Source organism: Homo sapiens, chromosome 4, assembly GCF_000001405.40.
Source record: "Homo sapiens chromosome 4, GRCh38.p14 Primary Assembly".
NCBI classification, from domain to species: Eukaryota; Metazoa; Chordata; class Mammalia; order Primates; family Hominidae; genus Homo; species Homo sapiens.
In genome coordinates this window covers 157,985,111-158,009,884 of record NC_000004.12, presented here as the reverse complement: position 1 = coordinate 158,009,884, position 24,774 = coordinate 157,985,111, and the positions used below count along the sequence as shown (strand labels likewise).

The following is a 24,774-nucleotide window of genomic DNA, read 5'->3' as shown; positions in this document are numbered from 1 at the left end:
GCTGATAAAACAGGTTGCAGTAAAGAAGCTGGCTACAACCCATCAAAACCAAGATGACCTCGAAAGAGATCTCTGGTCGTCCTCACTGCTCATTATATGCTAATTATAACACATTAGCATGCTAAAGGACACACCCACCAGCACCATGACAGTTTACTGTTGCCATAGTAACATCAGGTTGTTATCCTCTATGGTCTAAAAAGGGGGGAACCATCAGTTCGGGGAATTGCCCACCCCTGTCCAGGAAAACTCATAAACAGCCCAGCCCTTGTTTGGTATATAATCAAGAAATAACTGTAAGTATCCTTAGTTGAGCAGCCCATGCCGCTGCTCTGCCTATGGAGTAGCCATTCTTTTATTCCTTTACTTTCTTAATAAACTGACTTTCACTTTACTCTGTGGACTCACCCCAAATTCTTTCTTGCGTGATATCCAAGAACCCTCTTTTGGGGCCTGGATCTGGACCCCTTTCCGGTAACATGATCATGGGTAGTTACTTTATCACTCTTTATTTCCTTTTCTTCATTTTTAAAATGTGTGTAATATGTCATTTAGTTTGCAAGGTTGAAGGGATTGGAGCACAAACCTTCTCAACAAGCCTGAGGAACTTGCCCTCAGGTTTGTCAAGGAGCAAGGCTGCAGCCGACAAATGGAGCCACTGTTCTCTGTTTCTCTGCTGTGTCAAGTTCAAAACTGATGACCCAAGAATGGAGCTCATCAATTTCAAAAGGAAATAATTCTATGCTTTTTTTTAGCCTCAGAAGATAAATATTTCTTGTGGTACCTCTGACATGGCAACATGCCCATGCACGTCGGCAGTGAATAGATGGGGTTGGTGGATGGAAATGGCAAACAGACCGGACAGACCTCACCCAAAACTTAACAGCAGCAGGCCCTGAGAGGGCCAGTGAATCTCTCCATGATCCTTGGTTAGTGGTCAATCTGAAGCTTTTCTTACCGAAACAAATAAAGATATGTCTACAACAACTGATATCGACTGAGAGGCATATCAGGCAGGGGTAGCTGCCTGAACTCTGAAAGGGACAGAGAGGAGGCACAGTGAAGACAAAGAAGTAATGTGTAACTTTTGGGGAATGAGGAGGCTACAGAGCCTGATGGTAAAACTATGTCAGCTGCTCAGGAGGGAGAAGCTGGAAGGGAGGTTTGTTGTTCTTGGCAGGCGGATGTGGAGGTTGGAATGAGTGTAGTCCTTTTAAGTTTTGTTTTGTTTTCTTTCCAGAATATCAGTGACCTTTTCTCCCAATCTAAAAATTTAACTTAAGAGAATATATTATGTGTAAACTTGGGGCAATAAGGGCAAAACAAAACAGCAGCAAAAACAAGGCAATAGCATTTGCTAATCTTTACCTGACAGCTGAAATAGATAGCATTTGTAAAGATGCGGCTCAAAGAAAGTACTCACAATTGATAATTACTGTTGTTGTTGATGTTTAGTTGCGGATCTGTTATGAGTGCCATTTATTTGTCACTAGGCTTTTGTTTATGTGCAATTCATTTTCTCTAATATATTCATAACAAATTTATACAAAAAGTATCAATTTCCCATTTTGTATTCAATGGAATTGAAGTTGAGAAAAATTAAATTAACTGAATAAAGTCACATAGACAGGAAGTCAGAAATCAAATGCAGACTAGTATATGTCCAGGTTCTTTCTTTTACATGGCATTGCAAATATTTAACATACAAAGTGTGAGGTTCTAACCTATACAAATATAGAAAATGGAGGAGCAAATGGATGGCAACTAAAGTAGGAATACACTAAAGATCTATTTTCTATTAATCCACACTTTTCCTTATTTTGACATTGTTTCTATCCCAAGCACAAGTAAGTGTTTCCATTTGGATGCTAATAGGTGCAAGCTTCCCAGCTTCACTTTTAAGACTTGTTAAAAGAAAAACTTTAGTTGAATTAAATTTAAGAGAGTTTAATAGAGCAAAGAACTATTCGTGAATCATGAATCAGCAGCCTCCTGAGCCAGAGTAGGCTCCATGACTTCAGCACAGCCACGGATGTAGGGACAGAAAAAGCAAAGTGATGTACAGAAAACATAAGTGAGGTGCAGAAACAGCTAGGTTGGTTACAGCTTGGTGTTTGCCTTATTTGAACAGGGTTTGAACAGTTGGCCACATCTGATTGGCCAAAACTTGGTGATTGGCCTAAGAGTAGGTTACAACTCCATTTAGTTTATAGTTCAGGATGTACAGAGAAACATTTAGGGTGAACTTAAAATATGTAAGGAGATGGCCTTAGGCTAAACATAATTGAACCGACTTAAGAGATTTGAATTGTTCCCATAAATTGTGGGAAACATCAATAATTTAAAGATGATCACTTATATCATCTTTCATCAAACTATAATGCTGTATTCAAAAAGCAAGAAACCACTGAGAAGAGAAAAACAACAGGTTTACAAGTTATTAATAGCCTAAGTCACAGCTTTGGAAGACAATTAACATTTTTAAAGACAATTATAAAACTTATGAACATGGTTTCCATAGTAACCACTGTTTGCTATTTAATTAGGATATTCTTAAAATTCTGTTATAAAATAAAACACTTCCAGCAATTGTCAAGATATAAAAAGGTTCATGCTGTGTTATGCATGGTAAGGGTTTTCCAGAATTAATAAGGAAGTGTGAACTTGTTGGTTTGTTGTTCTGCTACAGCTGAGGGAAAATGCTGTAATACAATGAGTAGGCACTTAGCCAGGAGGCCATTTCCTAATAAAAACAGTTAGCATTGTGCCATAAGCATAAGAAAAACAGCTTATAAAACACCATATGAAACTTGAACTCAAGGAAAAAGAGGATATGATTTTTTGTAACATCCTAACTTAAAAATAAATGTTCTCTCTTTTGGCCACCAGTATAATACTTAAAATAGTTTGATAATTATTTCTACAGTTGTGTCACTTTTTCTTTTGAGCATTAAAGTAGGTGGCACATCATCCAAAGTCAGGCATTTAAAACATGCACCTTAAAAATAGTTTGTTGTCCGCCTTAAAATACTCTTGTTTATGAGCCTTCAGCAAAGTGTTATTTTTAGCCAACTGAAGTACTGATATAGGAGTAAATGAAAAGAAAAAAAGAAATTCTGGTGGAACTCAACAGAGACAAAGCACACAAAATTTGAATATATTTAGGCCGTAACACTCCAGTTTCTACTCTGTGTGAAAATATTACAAATAAGCATAGTTATTCAAGAATTATAACTTTCTTGCTTAGAAAAGAAGTAGTATACTTAAAGATTTTCAAAAGGACCACACATTTTGGAAATAACAGTATAACTGCTATTGCCAATGCCTTGTTACAAATTATTCTAAATCCTGTATAGTAATTTTCTGCTTAAAGCCAAAATAACAAATACAGTGTGAAAAACAAAACCCCATCGCTGATTGACGAAACCTCTGTATCATATGTGAGAGACATACACAGCAGATCACATGTTTTTGTTGTAGTCTTAGAAATGATGATGACTTTGGAAACATATGAATCTGTTTAGAAGTTTGGAGAGGTCTTTACAAAGGAAGAAAACAGATAGCTGAGCTTTAGTGGGTAAATAGAAGTTTTCCAGGGAGGGAAGAGAAATAAACATCCAGTCAGAAGCCTAATAAGAACCAAGTCTCTAAAAGGTGAAAATATTGGTTATGCTTGGTGTGGCTATGGTATAAAATTGTGCAAGGGGGAGGGAGAAATAAATTCAGAAAGTTAGTTGGGATTTTATTTTCCTGTTCAAAGTGAATGCAAATTCAATCTCAAGCGTGTCTAACTAAAAAGATAATTAATTAGCTTATGTTACTGAAAAATCCAGAGTTAGATAAATGTAAGCTTTCAGTCTCTCAATTCAGGGTCTGATGCAATTAGTAAGACTCAGTTTCTTTCTCTTCATCGTTGAGCTCTGCTTCCCCTCTGTTGGGTTCATATTCAGCTACAGACTCTCCTCATCATAAAATGGGCCTTTGCCTTGTATCCTGAACCAGGTCCCTTCCATGTTTGACCTGTAATTTCTTCTCATTGAATCAGTTTGGTCACTTGCCCATTCCTGATCCAATGCTGCTCTGCACCATTTGGCCAGGTGTATGGTGCTACTTTACCATTGAAGTTGAGAATAGAGCTACATTTGAATAATATAGGGGGCATGGGTCCTGGCAAATTAAAAAAAAAAACTATAATCCATCCCTTAGGCTAGCAAAAGTACAAACAGAACCTTATTCTTAAATTCCTTTTTCCCAGTTACTACATTCACTCCAAGTCTATGGCCTCTGGTCAATATTAATTCCTTCTCATCAGGTCTGGGTGTAGTTCCTCATGGTCATCAAGCATCATCAAACAAGTAGAGAGTTTATCTTTGTCATATGCAAAACACATTGATAGAAAATACAAATATGTACCACAAAACTTCCATTGGATGGAAAGAATGGGAAACAAAACACGGTGGCCTATCTGGCTCAAAAAGAATAGCAAGGATTATTTGCTCCATTTTCCCTGACACTGTAAGTTCTTTTGTCAGCAGACCTGAATTAGTCACCCTAGTTGTATTTTACTCTATAGTTTTCCTTATTTTTGTCCTCAGTGGTCATGTGTGAGATGTGTGTGTTGGGTATCCCCCATCTGTTTCCCTTGCTATCCGATTAGGAATTTGGGATATGCTTTAGTGGTTGTACTTGCAGCCTGTTTTATTCCAGTGTTGATAGGACAATTCCATTAAAACTTAAGTGGACTTTCAATCTGTCCTCTAGACAATTCCATGGGCCAGTGCCAAAGGCCAGAAATCTCCTCAAGCTGGTCTTTGTATGAGAACTAGGCCCCATGTTTTTCTTAATTAATACCCGCCTGACACATTGCTCTGCCTATCTTCCTTACCCTGAGAATCTGCATCTTGCCCCTGCCTTGGGCCATTTAACATAAGGACTGGGGCTGATGTGGGATCTTTATACTGAGGTGACCATCCCTCTAAGTGTAGTTTAAAAGAGGAGCTTTTCGAAGAATCCTGAGGAGGATGGCTTCTCTCTGGTTTTAATATTACCTCCTGTGATTGCTCCTACTTCCCTGCTTTTGCTGGCAATAACTTTAGTTTGGAGGAGAGAATCCAGCTGTCTGAACTTTCAAATTTTTCTGTGACCTCGAATGGAAAGTCTCAGGCAAGAAAGGTATTTCTTGGTAAAGCCATATATTTTTTTCTTCCTGTCTTTACTTAGAGGAACAGATTTCAATGTCAGCTTCTTTTTAAAAAGAAGACTTACAGTGAACCATAAGAACTAGCAAGCATATGCCACAATTCTACATTTTTTAAATTCAAGACGATTAGTTCTATTGTCTCAGTAAGGATAGCTTCTGAACACCAAGCTAATACGTGTGTAAATTTACCTATTTGTAACCTCCGTTACCAAATTACAAGTGTTACCCAGCACGAAGTGTTAGAGTCCTCCTCCCTCCTTGATTCTTCCAATTATGAATTTAGTGTTTGTCATTTGCATTGTTCCATTCTTAGTGTTAGCTTTTGTATGTTCTGATGGCACGTGAGAGAAAAGACAATCCAGAGTATGACAAAGGGGGTTTATAGACTAACACAACTGAAAAGGCCAGGGTTTGCTTGAGCCAGGGGGATGTTAACAGGATCAAGTTTTTCTTTGTTCGTGTTTAAGATTCACATCTTCTTTGTTGACTTGTTTTTCAGATAGTGTGCTTGTTTGAGTTGTGTCGATTTTGTGAAAGATGGTCAGATACTGTGTTAGATAGGTGAGAAATAATTGAATCAGAATTATGGATTTGCCTAGACAGGAAAATACAGATGAAAAGAGAAGGATACCAGGCTAGAATTCTGGAATATACCAATGCTTAGTGCAAAGGAAGAAGTGATGATAAAGGAGGGGGAGAAACAGCAGTAAAAATGTAGTTAAAATACTGGGGTAAGTCTTTTTATGACTTCACTAGACTAGTATATAAACTAATACTTTCAAAGAAAAGTTGCATATTTAAAAGCTTTGACAATTTTTAATGCATTTTTGATAGCACATGATTCTGAAAAAATAAATGAGAAGTTGGTTTTTTGAAAAGAAAGAATAAATTGGGAATAATAACCAAACATAACAGTGAGTTATTTTATTTGAGAATAAAACAACTATAAAGACAGAAAGTGAGTAAAAAGTAATCTGTTCTTAGAAAAAAGAGTTTGACAGTTTATCCAAGTTTATCATAGAATACCTGTATAAGTACACTATTTTAGGTGCTTTAACATTTTGGAACATTCCAATTTTGTTATTTATCAATAACACTTTCAAATGTTTCCTAATAAGAAACACATGTATCACATATAAATTTGTTATTCTACCATTACTTCTACTTTTTAGAATTGTTCTTTTCAGATCAATTCTTGAGTGTTCATTTCACCAGAGCCAACACCTAAACAGAGAACCCCAGGGAAATTCAGGTTTTGTGGTTTGTATTGCAGCTTCTCAGGAAGCTAGCATGAAGTTGTGTAATGTCTTTCTATCAGCTATTCCTTGTGGGTATAGTGAGCTATTTTCTCATGATTAGACTCTATAATTACAGACATTTAATAACAAATCATGTCATGATGGGCCTAGGAATTTCAGCCATAAAATTGGCACTTGCCAAATATCAATTATAAAACTCAAAGCATTATATAGATATTGGTAGTATTGTTTTGTTCTCAGACCATCAGCACATATGCATAACAATTATTGTCATTGCCACATAGATTTTAAATCCCTTTGGGAAGATAATGCCTGCCTCAGTGATAATAGTATTTATCGTTTGATCTTTCTGCCTAAGGTATTAGAAGTTACTAACTCCCAGAGTCTTTTGATTTCTTTGAGTAGCTTTTTGTTAAAAAAAAAAAGCCAACAACACACACAAACATCAACCATAGTGAAGCACAATTAGAAGAAAAGGTAAACTGCTAGTTAGAGACTGCCCATGAACTCGGATAGTGAGTGAGATATTTCAGTGTCAAGTATATCAAGGGACTTGAAATCACTCTCAGACTCCTCCCGTAAGACTTTCAGCTCAGTGTTTTTTAATTGACAAAATAAAAATTTATATACTTATGATATACAATATGATGTTTTGAAATATATACACATTGTGAAATGGGTAAATTAAATTAATTAACATATGTATTACCTCAGCTACTTATCATTTTTATGTGGTGAGAAAGAACACTTGAAATATACTCTCTTAGCAATATTCAAGTATACAGTGTATTGCCACTAACTATAGTCACAGTCTCTTGAACTTATTTCTTCTATCTATCTGAAATTTTGTATCCTTTCACCAACATCTCTGCAATCTCAACCCCTACATTGCCCCGACCCTTCACCACCACACAGCCCCTGGTAACCACCATTCTACTTCTGCTTCTAAGAGTTCACCTTATTTAGATTCCACACAAAAGTGAGATAATGCAGTATTTGCCTTTCTGTGCCTGGCTTATTTCAGTTCACATAATGTTCTCTAGGTTCATCTATGTCATTGCAAATGATAGATTGTTTTAACACACACATAAAAATGAAACTCTGCTGTTATGTAAGACAAAATTCAAAGAGGGAACCAAGTTTGTAAAGCAAAAGCAGTAAACAAAAATTCCAAATTGTCATCTAAATGATATGTGAGATAAAAAAGTGATTAAAATTTATAACTGTAGACTATTAGAACAATAAAAATGAGAACCCTATATTAAAACTAATATAAGTGGTTCAAAGCTAAATTCGAATGTGATTACATGGTTAAACAACAACACAAAAAAAGCAAACTAAACCTTCAACTTAGAATGGTCCAGAAAAAATTAAAAGGACACACACACACATACACACACACACACAGAAGAGAGGAATAAAAGAAACAGGAAGGAAGGAATTAAAGTAAGGAAATTAGAGAACAACAAAAAAACAGTTGAACTGCAAGGGAAACCATGAGAGTTGATTCTTTGGGGAAAAATAGTAAAGCTAAACTTGTGGAAACTATAATAACGAGATAAAAATTTTTCAAGAGAGAAAAGGAATGTAACAATGTTTAAGTAGGATATTAAAATTATGAGACTATTGTATACTCAATGCTAATACATTTAAACATTTCTATGAAATAATTGTTTTGTAGAAGATAATAAACTTCTAAAATATATCAAGAATAGAAAGTAAAAAATACATTTTGAAAAATTATTTCCACATAAAACTCTAAACAAAAACAGATGACTTATTACAGATTTACAAGGAATGGATTTAACATTTCCATGCCAAATTGTGTGGCCAAGAGTATCGAAAAGGATGGAAAGTGATCTAATTAGGTTTTTGAAGGCAGTATAGTTTTGAAAGTCTCATCACTTATATAATTGTAAACATAAACATTCAAAATAAAACTGATTATTGAGAAAATAATCACTATTTTCAAGTAGTTTTATTCTGTGAAACAACGGTTAAATATTAGAAAATATATGATGTAACACAAATTATATGTCCAATAATTAAAAAAGCTTATTTTAAAAGAGGCTAAAATATATTTAATAAAATTAATCGTTTGACTATGTGTCACAGCTCTCAGAAAATGAGGATGGAAAAGCTCTTTTTTGATTGCAGTCTTTTCCCCTATTCCACACCATGCACCCACTTTTGTGTTTCTACTTTGTAGTCTTTCACCAAATTTTTTATTTCGCATATTCCTCTTAGCCCTACTTTTTATCCTTTTGGCTCAGTTTCTCTACTAATCCCTAGGATGATCGTGGTTTGAATTAACACAGGTCTTCAATACATTTTTCCTACCACATTACTTTTCACCAACCCCCTCCCACCTCCTATCTTCATTTACCTTTTAGCCTTCTCTAAATTCCAAGATGAACCATCATAATCACTCCCTTGCAAACAGATTCATCTCCTTTGTTATCTGAACCCCTTGTAACAATTGTCAATATCTGAGCCTCAATTAACCCAGCTACCCACCTATACCATGCTTGCAACCCAATAGCTTAACGGGGAAAAGTCCAACTGATTTCACTTTAATTTGTTAACCACAAGCTTCAAAACACCCTCCGCCCTGTCTGACACTCCTACTCATTTTCCGATTGTCTGAGATGACTGTGTTATCCTTCATGTTCTTGTCCCCAAGTTCTTCCGCTATCTTTCGCAAGCCTTGCTCTCAGAAGATTATTTAGTGTTATAATTCATGGGTTAATTAGATGCAGGATATCAGAACATCCTCTACTTACCTAAAATTATAAAAACTTAGCTACGTTTGTATCCATAATGCTGTAGTCTACTTGTTAACATGGAAGACGTGCCTGTTCTCCAACAAGGCCAAGTCCTCCACCGAAGATTGGTCACTTTCACACAAAAGAAATCTAACAACTTTCTTCATTCTGCTTGTTAAAATGGAAGCGCCCCTGCGCTAATCACAGGTGAACCTTTCTGTTCACCTGAATTTTATTCCTTGGGGCTTCTGAAGACTTCTTTACCTGCCTCCATTTGAATCACATCTCTCTCTCTCAGATTGGTTCAATCTGACTGATGCGTAGTCAGACTCTCAGGGTGTCTTCGAACTTTTTCTCTATAAAGAGCAACGGACAGTCCCAACAAAAATAACAAAATTTTGATCACGCATTAATTTCTCTGCATCCTTCTCAGCAACAGGACATATAATTGTCCTCACTCGTCGCCTTCATTTTATTCCTTTGCATTCACTTTTTGTCCTACTTAAATAATTTTAATGTAGTTTTTTGAGAAGGCAATATATGACTGTCTTAAAAAATTTGAGCAGTACAGAATGTTAGCACCCTTCTATCATCAATCCCCAATACTAAGATTTCTCCAAGTTGAAGTGATTTTTTTTTGCATAGATTAAAGTATGCTTTGCTTTTCCACTTATCAAGGAGATCTTTCATGAAGTGTACACAGGTATGTCTCATTCCTTTTAACCACTTCTGGGCTTGCTGTCACATAAATGTATTTACACAGTTCCCTACAATGAAGATTTATAATGCTTGCAATCTCTTGCTAACACAGAAAATACGGCTGGGAAAATCTTTGTAATTATATTTTTATGCCATGTATTTATGGGATACACTCTTAAAAGTGGGATTATTGAATCCAAAGGATATGTTTATTTATAATTTTGGTAAATGTTGGAAAATTGCCTTCCAGATGTTTTACTAACTTAAATTTATACCAGTACTGTATAAGAGTGCTTGATTCTCCACACCTTCACTAATACAGTGTAGTAAGAGAATTTTGCTTTTTGCCAAATGCAGTATTTGAAAACTTGATATCCAAATGCAATTATAATTTACATTCATTTTATTATGACTGAGGCTGATCATATTTTCAAATTTTAAAAGGCTTTGCGTTTCTTTTTATTTCTGAATTCATGTCTTTGCCCATTTTTTTTACATTGGTTTGTTTATAATTTTCTCATTAGTTTGTATGGGCAATGTATATATATATGTTAAGAAAATAAACATTTCAGCAGCTGGATTACTAAAATATTTAAGCTAGTAAGTTTGTAAATTTTTTTCTTTTTCTTAAATTTATTAAGTTTAAAACTTAATTTTGATGGACTCAAATTTATACATTTTTAAATAGTTTTGCACCATGTTTTGAAAGTTTTTACATCATGCTTATAAATACCTTACACTATCAAGTATATGAGAAGGTTTGCCAATGTTTTTCTTTCATTTCCTTTCAATTTTATAGTTCGGTTTTTACACTTTGAAAACATTGGTCCTTCTGAAATGTATTTAAGAAGCAAGAGAGAGAATCTAGCTCATTCGTTTTCCCTAGATGCTACCCAATTATTCCAGAATTATTTGATCCACACACCTCCCCCTGTCTGCCTCTCAATACCCATGGATTTAGAATGCCACTTTCACCAGTAACTAACAACCCATATATATTTAAGACTATATCTGACTTTTTGGTTATATTGACTATTTGTGGCCAGTGCTAGTATTTCCTATTGTTTTAGAACATTTTTTTTTCTTGTATAGCTAGCCTTTGCTTATTATTCTTCTGCTTCATATTTTCTTGGATATTATTACACGTTTATTTTTTCTTTGTAGACTTTAGAATCAATTCATAACATTCCTAATCATGAGAGAAATACAAATCAAAACCACAATGATATACCATCTCACACCAGTCAGAATGGTTATTATTAAAAGTTAAAAATCAACAGATACTGACTAGGATGTGGAGAAAAGTGAATGCTTATTCACTGTTGGTGGAAAGATAAATTAGTTCAGCCCCTTTGGAAAGCAGTTTGGAGATTTATCAAAGAACTAAAAATAAGACCACCATTCAACTCAGCAATTCCCTTACTGGGTATCTACCTGAAGGAAAAGAAATTGTTTTACCAAAAAGACACCAGCGCTCGTATGTTCACCACAGCACTACTCACAATAGCAAAATCATGGAACATCCTAGGTGCCTATCAACAGTGGACTGGATAAAGAAATTGTGGTACACATACATAATAGAATACTATGCAGCCATTAAAAAAATAAAATTATGTCCTTTGCAGCAACATGGCTGCAGCTACAGGCCATTATCCTAAGTGAATTTGAGCAGGAACAGATAATCAAATACCACATGTTTTCACTTATAAGTGGGAGCTAAACACCGGGTACATGCGGACACAAAGATGGAAATAATAGACACTGGGGACTCCAAAAGGAGGGAGGGAGGGAAGGTGGCAAGGATTGAAAATTACCTATTGGGTATTGTGTTCTCTGTTTGGGTAACGGGTTCAGTAGGAGCCCAACCTCCAGTATCATGTAACATATCCATGTAACAAACCCATACGTATATCCCCTGAAATTAAAATAAAAATAACAACAACAACAACAACAACAACAAAGTTTTATGAAAAACTCTGGAATAAATTCATTTGTATTGAGTTAAATGAATAAATTATCTTAGGGTAATAGATATATTTATAATGAGTCATTTCATCAAAGCACAATAAAAAATTTAAACTGTTTACTCTTTTAAAACTTAGGTAGTTTTATTATTATTTTATGAGTCTAGACTTCCTGGAGTTCTTATTAGATTTATTTGTAATTTAATGCTACCCAGAGTTTTAAAAAATTACATTTTTTAGCTGCTTATTGTTGCAGTCACTCAAGAGTAGCTCTTGTCACCCCAAGTCCACTGAAATGTTTGTTGTTAAGGGGACCAGTGATTTTTCTTTTGCAGAACCCAGTGACCTCTTCTGTATTCTTCCTTATTTTGATTTGGAGCAGCATTTGACCCTACACTCAATCTATCTTCCTTGAGAATCTTTCCTCCTGTGGTTTCTTGGGCACTGTATCCTCCTGATTTATTTGTTTTTTTACCTAATTCACCAGGGACTTTTCCTCTACCTACTTTGCTGTCCCTTCCTCCTTATCTAACTTAAATATTGAAATGCCTTTGGGTCCTTTTGTCTTCTCTAGCTACAGTCTCCCTAGGTGATGCCTTTCAGCTTGCTACATATTAACTTACATGTTCTATTTCATGAGATAATCATGAGAGACTTTCAGATATTTAAAACTAACCTCCCACTAGCGGTTCATATAGCCCTGGATGAAAAGTTGTTTATCACCCTTCAAAAGGAGGTACATATATGGTTTTTAAAGAAACTTTTGGAAGGGATAACTGACTCCCTCATTATCTGAGCTATAATTTTCACATTTGGAATAATACAACTGGCAAAATGGTGCAAAGCTTTACTTTGACCCCAGCAAAAGCCATAAATAATATAACTTATACTCTGAATGCCCAACAAACTAGTCTCAATTCATTAGCTAGGGTTAGGAAAAATTTGCAATGCTCCTGCTTTCCTTATAATTAACCAAGAGAAAATTTATATTACAGTAAATACTTCTTGCTGCACTTATGGACTACAAGACAAATACATAAACACATGAAGAAGATAAAATGAAATAGAGACCTGACCTTCTAAAACAAACACAAAAGGATTTATTGCCTAGATTTTATGATCTAGAATCCTCGCTTCAAGACTTGTGTCAAGGACTAATAATCATTTTGCATCTGATAATTGCTTACATTGCATTTGGCAGATGTAGGCCATTCTGAGTTTCTGTTTAGCAATGATCATGCCAGCACATTCAATAATTCATCCTGCAATGAAAGACCATGTGACTAATTTTAATTCAACTACAGACTATGTTCTCTAAAAAAACTCTTCTTAGCAGCAAAATCTTAACTGATGGTAAAAATATAAATATTATGGATTAATGTCTTGTGGCCTTAACTATGTTTGCCCTTGACCCAGAGGGGAAACTGGGTAAGAGAAAAGCAGCCCTTGACATGTGGGACTGGCCTGGTCCTATCAGCTGGACTGGTATGAGGAGCTGGCCTGGTACTTGCAGTTAGGCCTTGTGTATTTCTTTTGATCATAAACAATTTCACAGAACATCAACATCAGACAAGGTCACTCTGTGAACAAGATAAATTAAGACAAAAATAAGACCACTCATAACCAGGTCTGAACACAGACAAAACATAAACACTGCTCCAGCCACAAAATACCAAGCAGCCCCCTAACCTGGCAAACACGAGTGCCTGCCGCTCTTTCCCACTGACAACTCTATTCTGACTCCAGTCTTCCCTCCTTCCAGATGAGATTTATTAAGATAAACAATCATAGACTTGCCCTTGCTTCCTGTCGGCGTCTACTCCAGAGCAAGGCCTGGTTTCCTGAACTCCCCCCCGCCCAAATCATCTCATATGAAGCCAGATTCTTTGATACTGAGATTTAGGGATAAAAATTTTAAAAATAATATACTATGGAAACAGAAAGATTTAAAAATTCTTAATGTGTCTAGTTAGGTAGCACCCACTAAGAAAAGTGAGAGCAGTCATCTCATGTTCAATAGTAGAAAGGCAAAATGATATTATTTTATATGCAAATAAACATGATCAAGTCCTAAAATCATTTACCATTGTATGGAATGAATGAAACACAGGAGAAAGACAAAAGTGATGTATGGTTTGAGTATGAACTCAAGATTTTAATAGTAATTTTCAATATGAACTGACTTTCTATCACCTAATTTGTCTCTGCTTTGTGATAACTATGACATAGGTACCACAAAGGTATAAAACACAAATGTATTTTATAGCATTAGTTAATTTTTCATGTGTTGATTTCCTTTTATTAACTATATGTAACCATGGAAGCCCAGTACCTCATCATAATTTTTTATCCTATTTCTTACCAAGTGTTGAGATTTTCACATTGATGTATTTTAATATTTAAGGATTCATTTTATTATCTTTTAGAATTATTAAAATTTAGCCAAATCAGAAATTTGTTTGATGCATAATAGGTAAATATGGTACCAAATTATCAAATGGAAAGAGAGAACTAAGGTTGTTCTTTCTTGTTTTATGAATCAAATAGCAGAAATGGAAAGTGCTTTATGGTTAGGCCAAAGGAAGGCCACTCTATCATTAAGAATTTACTCATATACAAATTGAAAACCAAGCAAGGTATGTATATATACATATATAAATATAAAATATATATTCAGAATATATATTCAGGATCTACCAAGAGATAAGTAGATGATCTCTTTCCTTCATAATTTTTAAAGATGTAATGAAAGATTCGTTTATTTGGCTTTGCTCTTTCCTGGCTTGCCACGCTCATGCCGTTTTAATTAATCTCCACCAGTTGCAACAGCTTGATTTTTCTGGAATAAGAAATGAGCTGTTTTGCTCTGTAAACATTTTCTATGGGCATTCAGACACATGAGGGAGACGAATGAACAAACGAAAGGTCTTTCGTAAGACTGGTAGTTTACCAAGCACAAACAGAAGATCAAAGTGCCTTTGTTTGGCTTTATCTCTTTTCTTCAGAGGAAATGCCCAGCCATGACTGTTCCTTGTTTACAAAAGTCTCAAGGATTTCAGTTTTTTGAAAGAGAAATGTGAGAAAAAAGGAATGCAATTAAGAAACTGAAATACTGTCTTTGGCCTATACTGTTGGGTTTAAATCTACAAATCTCCAAAACACTTTCATTGTTCTCTACATTGCTTCTGGCAAAAATGTAAACAATATTTGTTTCATCAATCTCTGTCCTAACTACTGCCTACTTTGCTTGTTTTTGCTAGATTTTCCTCTAAAGCTGAAGAATATATTAAACTGACGTGTGTGTATATATATATATAAATATATATACAAATATATATACATATATATACAAATATATATATACAAATATATATATTTATATACGAACACACACAGGACACACATATATACATATATGTATGTGATATATACACAAGACATACACATATATACATATATATGACAAATACATAAAGCCATGATGAAATTAAAAAACAGATTTATATGTCAGTTTAATGTATTTTTATTTACATTTATTTTTTATTTTTTTGAGGTGGAGTCTTCCTCTGTCACCCAGGCTGAAGTGCAGAAGCTAAATCTTGGCTCACTGCAACCTCCACCTCCTGGGTTCAAGCAATCCTCTTGCCTCAGCCTCCCAAGTAGCTGGGACTACAGGTGCAAGCCACCATGCCTGGCTAATTTTTCTATTTTTAGTAGAGACGGGATTTTACCATGTTGGTTAGGCTGGTTTCGAACTCCTGACCTCAAGTGATCCTTGTCTAGGCCTCCCAAAGTTCTGGGACTACAGACGTGGCCACCATGCCTGGCAGTTTAAGGTATTTTTAATATCTATTACATATATACATACACATGTATTTAATTTTCTCACTTTAAATATTTTGATATCACCCCAAAAATATTCTGGTTTTGTGCCAACACCCTGTCTAAATGTAGAAATATTGAATATTGGATTCTTTTGGAGTCAACAAATATTTGTCAAGAATTTGCTTTAAATGCAATAGTAATGGCTATTTTTATGCCATATTAGGACATTTGGACTCTATTGTATAGATGAATGGAGACTTATTGCAGGTATTTGGACAATGGAGTGAGATAATGGCATCTGTGAAAGCGTTCTGATAGTATAGGTAATGCTTTTGAGAGATTCAGGGTAGAGTTCAGTTAAGTTACTATAGGTCTGTAAAGTGACAAAGGATCTGAGAAATATCTATAAAATAAATATAAGGTAAATTAGTTGATTTGAGGACATGCAGGAGAGGATACAGTCAAGGACGCTTTTTGGTTACTTCACTTGGGTGAAGTGATGAGATGTGGAATCCCCACATTTTGCTGAGAAAATAAGAGGATGAGCAGCTTTAGATGAGAAGGCCATGAGTTAGCTTTAAATACATTGACCTTGAGGTACTTCAAAGTATTTGAACACTGGTAGAAACATTCAACTATTTGGTTATAGGTTAAGTCGTTAGCATTTAGGTTAAAATGTAAAGCTTTGTAGTCATAATAAAGAGGGGTTTTCAGGCATTTTACCTTCTTTTTATCTGTTTTATTTTATGTCTTCTTAAAACTTCAAACCAATATCTTTTTCCTTCTACAGATAAATGGGAAACTTGTAATGATATGGAGGGGTCTTTACTTTAACATTTTTATGTTTTTATCAATTCCCAAATGGACCAGCTACTTCTCAGCTTCAAGCACATCTTCTTGTTTAATAAGTACCCTTTGTTTCTCCTTTAATTTCTAAGCTCCAAGGAAACAAACTATAATCTTGCAAGAATGTTCAATAGGCAATAAATAAAGTCAACATCACATGGTCAAGGTCAATATTAGAACAGTGACATGATAAACAAACTCTTTTATTTTGTTAGTTCACAACTCTAGTATTGTGTTGCTCTGTGGGTTTTATTTCCAAATAACCCCTGTAAAATTTGATGTTTCCTTAGATCCGGAAACCCACCAGAACGAATGCTAACAGAATCAGGACTTTCAATGCATTTTATTATGAATTTTAAAAGGCCCAGCAAAAGTAGGATATATTGCTCATAAGTAACTTTTAAAAATAAGTTTAGACTCCCTTCTGATATTAAAATAATGGATGTTCATTTAATAAACTTGTAAACATGTATATATAATAAGTTGAGAATTCAAAAAGGAAAAGGTAGATGATTGAGTTTTCCTATTAACCGGTTTTTAAAATATTTTAAAGTAATTTCTATTAGTAGTAATGGCCATTGAAAGTATAATTGATGCAATATTTTTGCCTTTATAAACACTTGTGTGTTTCCTAAAGACTCAGAAAATAACACTGTATTTAAAAAGTTATAAATCTGTTTCATTTGTACTGCTCAAGATGGGGAAACAAAAATCATGAGGAAACATCTGGTCTTTTTGGAGAAGCAGAAATCCCACAGAAAGTCTAAATGACCTATTTCATAACTTTCTTAAAAAATTGGAACTACCGTAATTGTCAGGAAGTTACGCAGTTTTCATTTTTGAGAAAGCCTTAAAATGTTCATTGTTTGCTGATAAAAATTGAAGTGGCAGTCAATTTTCTAAAAGGTGGCAGAATAGTGCAGGTTTTTGTTCCAAGATGATGTATAGATAAGACTATAAGATTCAGAGAAACATTTAGGGAAAGCGCTGGCCCTTTGGTATCTCTAGAACGCTCAATGTTTTTATTAACTTGGATTAAGAATCAGCATTTGAATTCATGCCTTTTCTCTGATCTTTGCTGCCCCCTAGTGACTCACATTACTACATTTCTCCTGTTGAAATCTACGTAGTCTACGTCTAATTAATATTGTAATTATTGTGCTGAATTAAATATTTATGAGAAACAAATATTTAAAGATTTCTAATGTTTAGGTAAAAATACTAACCTTGCCTCAAGGTTAACCCACTGGTCTCAAGAAATAAGTTGGTTGGATTACTCACCATGATGGATGAAATAGTTGAAGAGAGAAACACTATTCCAAGTTATTAAAATAGTAGTGCTGAAAGTGTGATTTGACAGAATATTTTGGATGGGGAAAACACAATACTTGATGAAATCATGTAAATTTCACATCTTTAAGCCAACTAATGCCATGTTGGGTATAATAACTACCCAAGAAAGTAATGAAAAAATATAAATTAAAATAAATGCAACTATTTTTACTAAGTTGTTAATAAGTTTGATATAAATGATAATACAAAATTAGGAATGCATCATATGGCCTAAAGTTGAGAAATGCTTTAAAAAGTGTGTGCATGTATACATACACTTACAGGTGTTTGTGTAAAATTGTATGTCCTCTTGTTGCCATTAAAAATAGAAAATATACAAGTTATATAATAACCTGTATGTTTTCAACTTTCAACCATATAGAATACAGGATTTATCCTGTAAATTATAATGCTTTTAACCATTTGGAATACAGAATTTATTACTATAAAATAGTGGTTAGTATGCAAAAGCGAAGAACAACAAAATTCAGAAGGGGTTTTACTACTTGTAAATGAAAACTGGATTTGTATTTCGTGTGTTTACTGATTTGTTTTTTCTGTATGGATGAATAATTATGCATGAAAAATAAATTAAAGGATGTGGCATGTGCATGAATGATACGGCTTGGTGAAATATTGTCAAGTATTATTTTCATTTAACCTTGCTTGGATCGCAGCTGGGGCTTATAGAGTTAGAGTGCTTGGCTGAATAGCCACCTGGCTATTATGAAAAATTCATGGTTTCAGGCGAGATTTCAATCACTGCCACTTTTCTAAAGGTGAAAAATAAAAATCCCATCTTTATTCACATAGATGCCCTAAATGGTAACATCTGTAACATGATAACTATAGTTATTTTAGGGAAAGGGGGATAAAAGCTTATCTTTTGTATAACTCCTTAGAATTCCAAATATTTTATTTTAATTTGCTTTACTATCAAAATTTCCTAATTGTTTAAATTCAAAGGTGATTTTTGAATTCATAAGACAATCAAACCCTTCATACTCTTCCAAAGCCAAATGTATGAATAGCTATCTGTCCTGTTATACAGGTATTTTTAAACTCACACATTCACTATTCTAGTTTTCCCCTAAGGTGGGCATTGCCTGAAGTTTAGTCCTAACTTTCCATTTCTGTCTCTATGTGTTGTGCTTTGGAGATCTTACTCTCTCCAGCTGTGTGCATATCTCCTTGTAGATACCTCTACAGTCAGCCTCTCCAGCACTGACTGCTTGTCTCAACTTGGGTTCGACATTTCCAGCAGTCTCCTGCATATAAGTCACTTGGTTGTTCCACGGTTAATACCAACACAAGCGTAAATTTGTCTCAAACAAGATGGAAGAAAGGTAGAGATTACTGAGTTCAAAACCTTTCTTTCTTTTTCTTTCTTTCTTTTTTTCTTTCTTTCTTTTTTTTGAGACAGAGAGTCTCACTCTGTCGCCCAGGCTGGAGTGCAGTGGCACAATCTTGGCTCACAGCAACCTCTGCCTCCTGGGTTCAAGTGATTCTCCTGCCTCAGCCTACTGAGTAGCTGGGATTACAGGCACATGCCACCACGCCTGGGTAATTTTTGTGTTTTTAGTAGAGATGGGGTTTCACCATGTTGGTCAGGCGGGTCACGAACTCCTGACCTCGTGATCCACCCGCCTCGGCCTCCCAAAGTGCTGGGATTACAGGCATGAGCCATCATGCCTGGCCTATTCTTTGATTCTTAATAAGGATTATCTTCTTGTAATTTCTTGAGCAGAAGTATATGAGAGGTAATTTTGTTTAGAACTTGTGTATGTGAAAAATTAAAAATGTTTGTTTCTACCTTCTCATTTGATTGGTAGTTTGTCTGGGTTCAGAATTCTATGTTGAAAATTATTATTCACAAAATGTTGAAGGCATGAAATTCAATTTTCTTTCTGCTTCCAATTGCCTGTTTTTCTCTGTATCTCAATTCCCTGAAATTTTACAGTACTGTGCTTTGCTATGAATTATCTTTTCATTCATTGTGGTAGATACTAATCCGCCCTTTCCATGTGTAAATCCAGACATTTCGATCCTAGATGTTTTTTTGTTTCTTTCTGTATAGTTTATTTCCTTTCATTTTCTTCTTTGTCTTTTTCTGAGGCTCTTATTTGACTGTTTGAACTTTAGTAACAAACCTCTAAAATTTTATCTAGTCTTACCTATTTTTCATTTTGTATTTTTGCTATGCTTTCTGGAAGAGTCTGTCATCTTTATTTTAATCATATTTTATTTTCTAGGAGCTTTTATTGTTTGAATGCTCCTCCGTCATTTTAAAATAATAGTCTAAATATTCTAATTTATGGATATATTATCCGTAAATTTTTATCTCTTTAAGGCGACTTGTATCTCTTTAAGGCGATTGATTATAGAGTTTCTTTGCATTCTTTCTCCTAGTTCCTGCCTTGCCTCAGGTCTTCTGCGTTGCTCGTTCTCTTTGTTGGGCTTCTGTGTTTGAGTTAGTGATATGACTTTCCTCATCCTTGGCTGTTATTTGCCATTTAAGAGTAAAACCCTATAAATATATTAGAAGCTTTGTGTTAATTTCAGGGCTTGTTGAGCAGTGTGCTTTTCTGTAGGATAATTAGATAGAAACACAGTTGTTTTCTCAAGGATACTCTTTCCCCAAATGTCAAGAGTTTTTCCTTAAGCCAGTGGTTCCAAAGAGATGAACCCTCCAGCCTTCTTCCTGTGAGGGAAGCTGGTTGCTTATGTGATGGAAAAGTGGAAGAGTATAATATGGGTCTCACTGTTCAATGTGTAGACCTTCATGCAGAGTCTTGACTGTGTTTGGTGTCTCTGGGTTCAAAGAGTCTCCAGAGAGTAAAACCTGAACCTCGTTCTTCTGTTAAGTGGGGAAAATTTTAGACCTGATCTCTTCTCATAGAGAATTTTAGGATATGCAAAGGTCTAAATGCTTTTGGAGAGTTGCAACCAATCTTCACGTTGTCTGCCTAACTACACCTCAGCCGTCAGAGGAACATGATGCCTCTAACTTGTAGGCCTCCCTGGATTCCAGGGCATGAAGTGACTAGTGTCTTGACTCTCCACTCTTGCACCTTGCAGACACTATCTTTCTTCTTCCTCTGGCCTTAATTTTCTGCTGGATATCTTCCTGTTTTTTTTTGCATCTCAGTTTTTTTTGTTCCCACTTCTTGTTTTTCTTATGTAATTTTATGCATTTTTAAAATTCTTTTACTGAAATTTTATGGTATTGTAAGAAGTGAAAGTTAATCCCACATAATTTGCCAAAATTTAGTTCCTTTTTTTAAATTCTATGGCTATTAACTTATATCATACTTTAATCACTTATTGCTGGGGTAAATAAATTGTTTCCTAACTAATTTCCTCCTTTCAATTTTTTTTCATTGAAAAAATGTCCTGTTAACTGCCACCCTGGGAACAACTCTAAGATAGTACTCTAATTAGATCACTTACCTGCTCAAAACACTCCAGATACTTTTAATGCCTAAAAAAGTAAATTTCTGACCTATTCATGGTCTACTCAGATTTCCAGGCTTATCTTTTACCATGCTTCAATGTGTACATTCTCCTTATACAAATGACTTTACTCACTGTCTTTGGAAAATATCTGCCTGTCTTCCCACTATTCTTGGCAAAACCTATTCTTTTCATTTAATCTTACTCATTCTTCTCAACTCCCCCAAGAAGTCTTTTTGATCCCTCTCATAGAAAAAAATTATTAATGACAGGTTTGCAGTCTATTTCTTTCATTATAGCATCTGTAACACTTAGTATTTATATTTTTATCTTTCTCTTCTAGACTCTAAGTTGCATTGGAGGCCAAGACCTTGTTATATTTTCTTGTTGTATACCAATTTTCAATCAATATTGAATACCTACTATGTGCCAGGATCTGTGCTAAAACTTCTTTAGGCATTCCTCAGGTAAAGAAAAAGGCACATAAGCAGCAGTTTTCAGAAACAGTGAAAGCTGAGAATGGGATCTCAGTGTCTACCTGGAGTTCAGAAAGAGGACTCCAGTTTCTGAAAGGACAGATATAAGCCAGGCTCATCTCAAGCCTTACAGGAAATGAAAGTATAGACTCAATTCTATCATAGGTATCCAAAAAGGATGAAGAATAGGGAAATTGTTTTCTTACTGGCCAATAGACAAGGGACCAGAGCAGGGCTAATAGCAAGGATGAGTTGCTTAATGTTGTCTTCTTCCCACCCCTTTTTCTCAGGCAGTGTTGGTCTGCAAGCTTCAAGAGCCAGTGACCCTGACTGCCAAGTGATTTGCCGAAGGGAATTATGGTAAGTTAATAAGACACCTGGAATTGTGAAACACTAGATTTCTCTAAACTTCCTAGAAGGTTTTTTGACTCCATGAAGTGCATGTCACTCTCATCCCAGGATGAGTTCTAGATTTTTCTCTTTATGGTTTTCAAGGGCAGATTTCATATGCTTAAGAAAGTCACTCTACTAATTTTTGACTTTTAAGTTACATTTACATGGTAAAGTTCTTCCATATGTCTAATCACAATAGTTCGCTTAATTTATGCTAATTATAAAGATCTTTACATTTTTATGTTATTCAACATCATGTTGACTGTAATTCTTAAAAGTTAGGCTCTTTTATGTGTTACAGATTTTCACCCTCCTGTAAGTAGTTGGAGTGTAGGAACCATGGCTACGCATCTTTAAGACTCGATTACATTTAGCATATTAGAAATGCTGAGTTAAAGTATTGTGGGAAACTAATACTTTTAGCATTAGAATATATAGGTTTGGGTATCAATGATTCTGTCAACTAACTGTGTGATTTTGCTCAATCCCTTAAACTTTTAGGAGAGTCTCAGTTTTCCCATTTGTTAATGCAAGATGTTTATCCTTGCAAATTTGAGGGTTGTGAGGGTTAAGTAAGAAGAATATGAAAATACTTTGTGGTCTCTAAAGCACTTTAACCACAGAACTTTTAAGTATTAGTTGAAATGAACAAATGAATGAACACCCTCTGGTGGACTCCTGAAAGTTATTTGTCTCCTGCAGCTAAACATGAAGACACTTTCATGTTTTATTAAAAAGAGTATAATATGGGGTAGTGATTAGAGGAGGGGTGAAAGATTATCTTGCCCACCGAATTTCCAATAATCTCCCTGACAATATGCCTAAAATACTCTTAATTTTCAATCTTGTGTATTAAATCTTTGAGTCCTCAGGAGGCACCTGCTAATATTTTAAAAAGCAACATAGGAAGTAATTTAACGTATCAATGTACATGTTTATACAGACTAATATATCAACAGAGAGCAGAACCTAAAGAAGGAAGTTCTAGGAAAGATAGGCCGTAGAGAGACCTATGCTTCTTCTTTTTTTTTTTTTTGAGACGGAGTCTTGCACTGTTGCCCAGGCTGAAGTGCAGTGGCGCGATCTCGGCTCACTGCAACCTCTGCCTCCTGGGTTCAAGCGATTCTCCTGCCTTAGCTTCCCAAGTAGCTGGAATTACAGGTGCCTGCCACCACGCCCAGCTAATTTTTTGTATTTTTAGTAAAGACAGACTTTCACTATGTGGGCCAGGCTGGTCTCAAACTCCTGACCTCGTGATCCGCCCGTCTCGGCCTCCCAAAGTGCTGGGATTACAGGCATAAACCACCGCACCCGGCCAAACCTATGCTTCTTTAGAGTAAAAGTGCGCAGTGATTCTGGGGAAAAACTAGAAACATTATTTTGAACAGATGTGATGCTTTTATTTACTACTTTATGTAATCTCTTTCCAGACTTCAATTTTAACATGTAATTAGGCATTCAACCCTTCTCCATATTTTAATTTAATTGACTGCTATAGATTTATGCAATAGTAAAAACTCCTTTGAAAATATGGTAAGAAAGAATGGTTACCCACTGCCTGCAAATCCTTGGCAAGCCCTCAGAAAACCCATTTGTAGTAGACGTTTTCCTAATTTTACTCTGAAATGGTGTGCAATGATGATTAAACTATTTCTTAATGAAATTAAACAAAAAGTTTACCAAAATATATGAAATCAAGATAAACACAAGTACATTTCACAGTTTTATGTAATTTATTATTTATGTTACATAACTTATTATTTTTGAAAGATATATACAACCCATGCAATTTTCAGTATTTTTTAATATGTGTAAACCTAAGGAATAAAAACTGTAGCCAGCCTGGTGTGGTGACTCACGCCTGTAATCCCAGCACTTTGGGAGGCCGAGGCAGGCAGATCACTTGAGGTCAGTTCGAGACCAACCTGGCCAACATGGTGAAACCCCATTTCTACTAAAAATACAAAAATTAGCTGGGTGTGGTGGCATGAAACTGCAATCCCAGTTACTCAGGAGGCTTAGGTAGGAGAATAGCTTGAACCCAGGAGGTGGAGGCTGCAGTGAGCTGAGATCGGGCCACTGTACTCCAGCATGGGTGACAAAGCCAAACTCCATCTCAAACAAACAAAAAATTTGTAGCTATTCCTGGATTCTGATCTGCTACATTGTTCATCTCACAGTCAGTTTGCATGCAATGCGGTAAATACACTATGTATAATATAGTCTCTAGATGGAATTATTTACAAGCCAACTACCATTTGTTAAGCATCTATTAAATGTAAAACACTCTGAAATATCTGTTGGTGTAACTGTATGTGTGTGGGGTACGGGAGTGCATAGATTTCCTCTTCGAACATATTTTGAGCACTCACCATGTACTTGACCCTCCACTGGGTACTGAGGTGGTCAGAGCTTACATCATAGTGGAGAGAAAGATAAGCAAGAAAATTACGTACATCATGCTAGATGGAAATGAGTGCTATGGGGAAAAGTAAAGGAGGCAGGTACATATGAGTCCAGAGTGGGAGCTGTAATTCCACCTTACATGGTTAAGGATGAATT

At 35.3% G+C, this 24,774-nt stretch overlaps 2 long non-coding RNA genes across 2 annotated transcripts in view, besides 2 other annotated features; both read left to right on the top strand.

The window, feature by feature from the left end:
* LOC105377509 (uncharacterized) overlaps window positions 1-24,774 on the top strand; it is a 227,163-nt gene that overhangs the window by 20,708 nt on the left and 181,681 nt on the right. Inside the window, exon 2 of the long non-coding RNA XR_007058347.1 lies at window positions 22,110-22,179. This is a non-coding gene — a long non-coding RNA (uncharacterized LOC105377509). The remainder of the gene's footprint in view (window positions 1-22,109; window positions 22,180-24,774) is intronic.
* On the top strand, window positions 130-987 carry LOC124900801 (uncharacterized). Its single transcript, XR_007058348.1, has 2 exons — window positions 130-296; window positions 756-987. It is a non-coding gene; the product is annotated as an uncharacterized LOC124900801 (long non-coding RNA).
* Window positions 14,812-14,956: an enhancer, noted in NCBI's record as "145 bp enhancer 19 fragment used in the MPRA reporter construct; PK_construct_3208". NCBI's record gives its function as "activates an SV40 promoter by MPRA in HepG2 cells {active_cell/tissue: HepG2}" and the evidence as "EXISTENCE:reporter gene assay evidence [ECO:0000049][PMID:23512712]".
* Window positions 14,875-14,892: a transcriptional cis regulatory region, noted in NCBI's record as "GATA motif; enhancer activity is reduced when this motif is scrambled; it is unclear which activator is functional in HepG2 cells". NCBI's record gives its function as "necessary for full MPRA enhancer 19 activity {active_cell/tissue: HepG2}" and the evidence as "EXISTENCE:site-directed mutagenesis evidence [ECO:0005528][PMID:23512712]".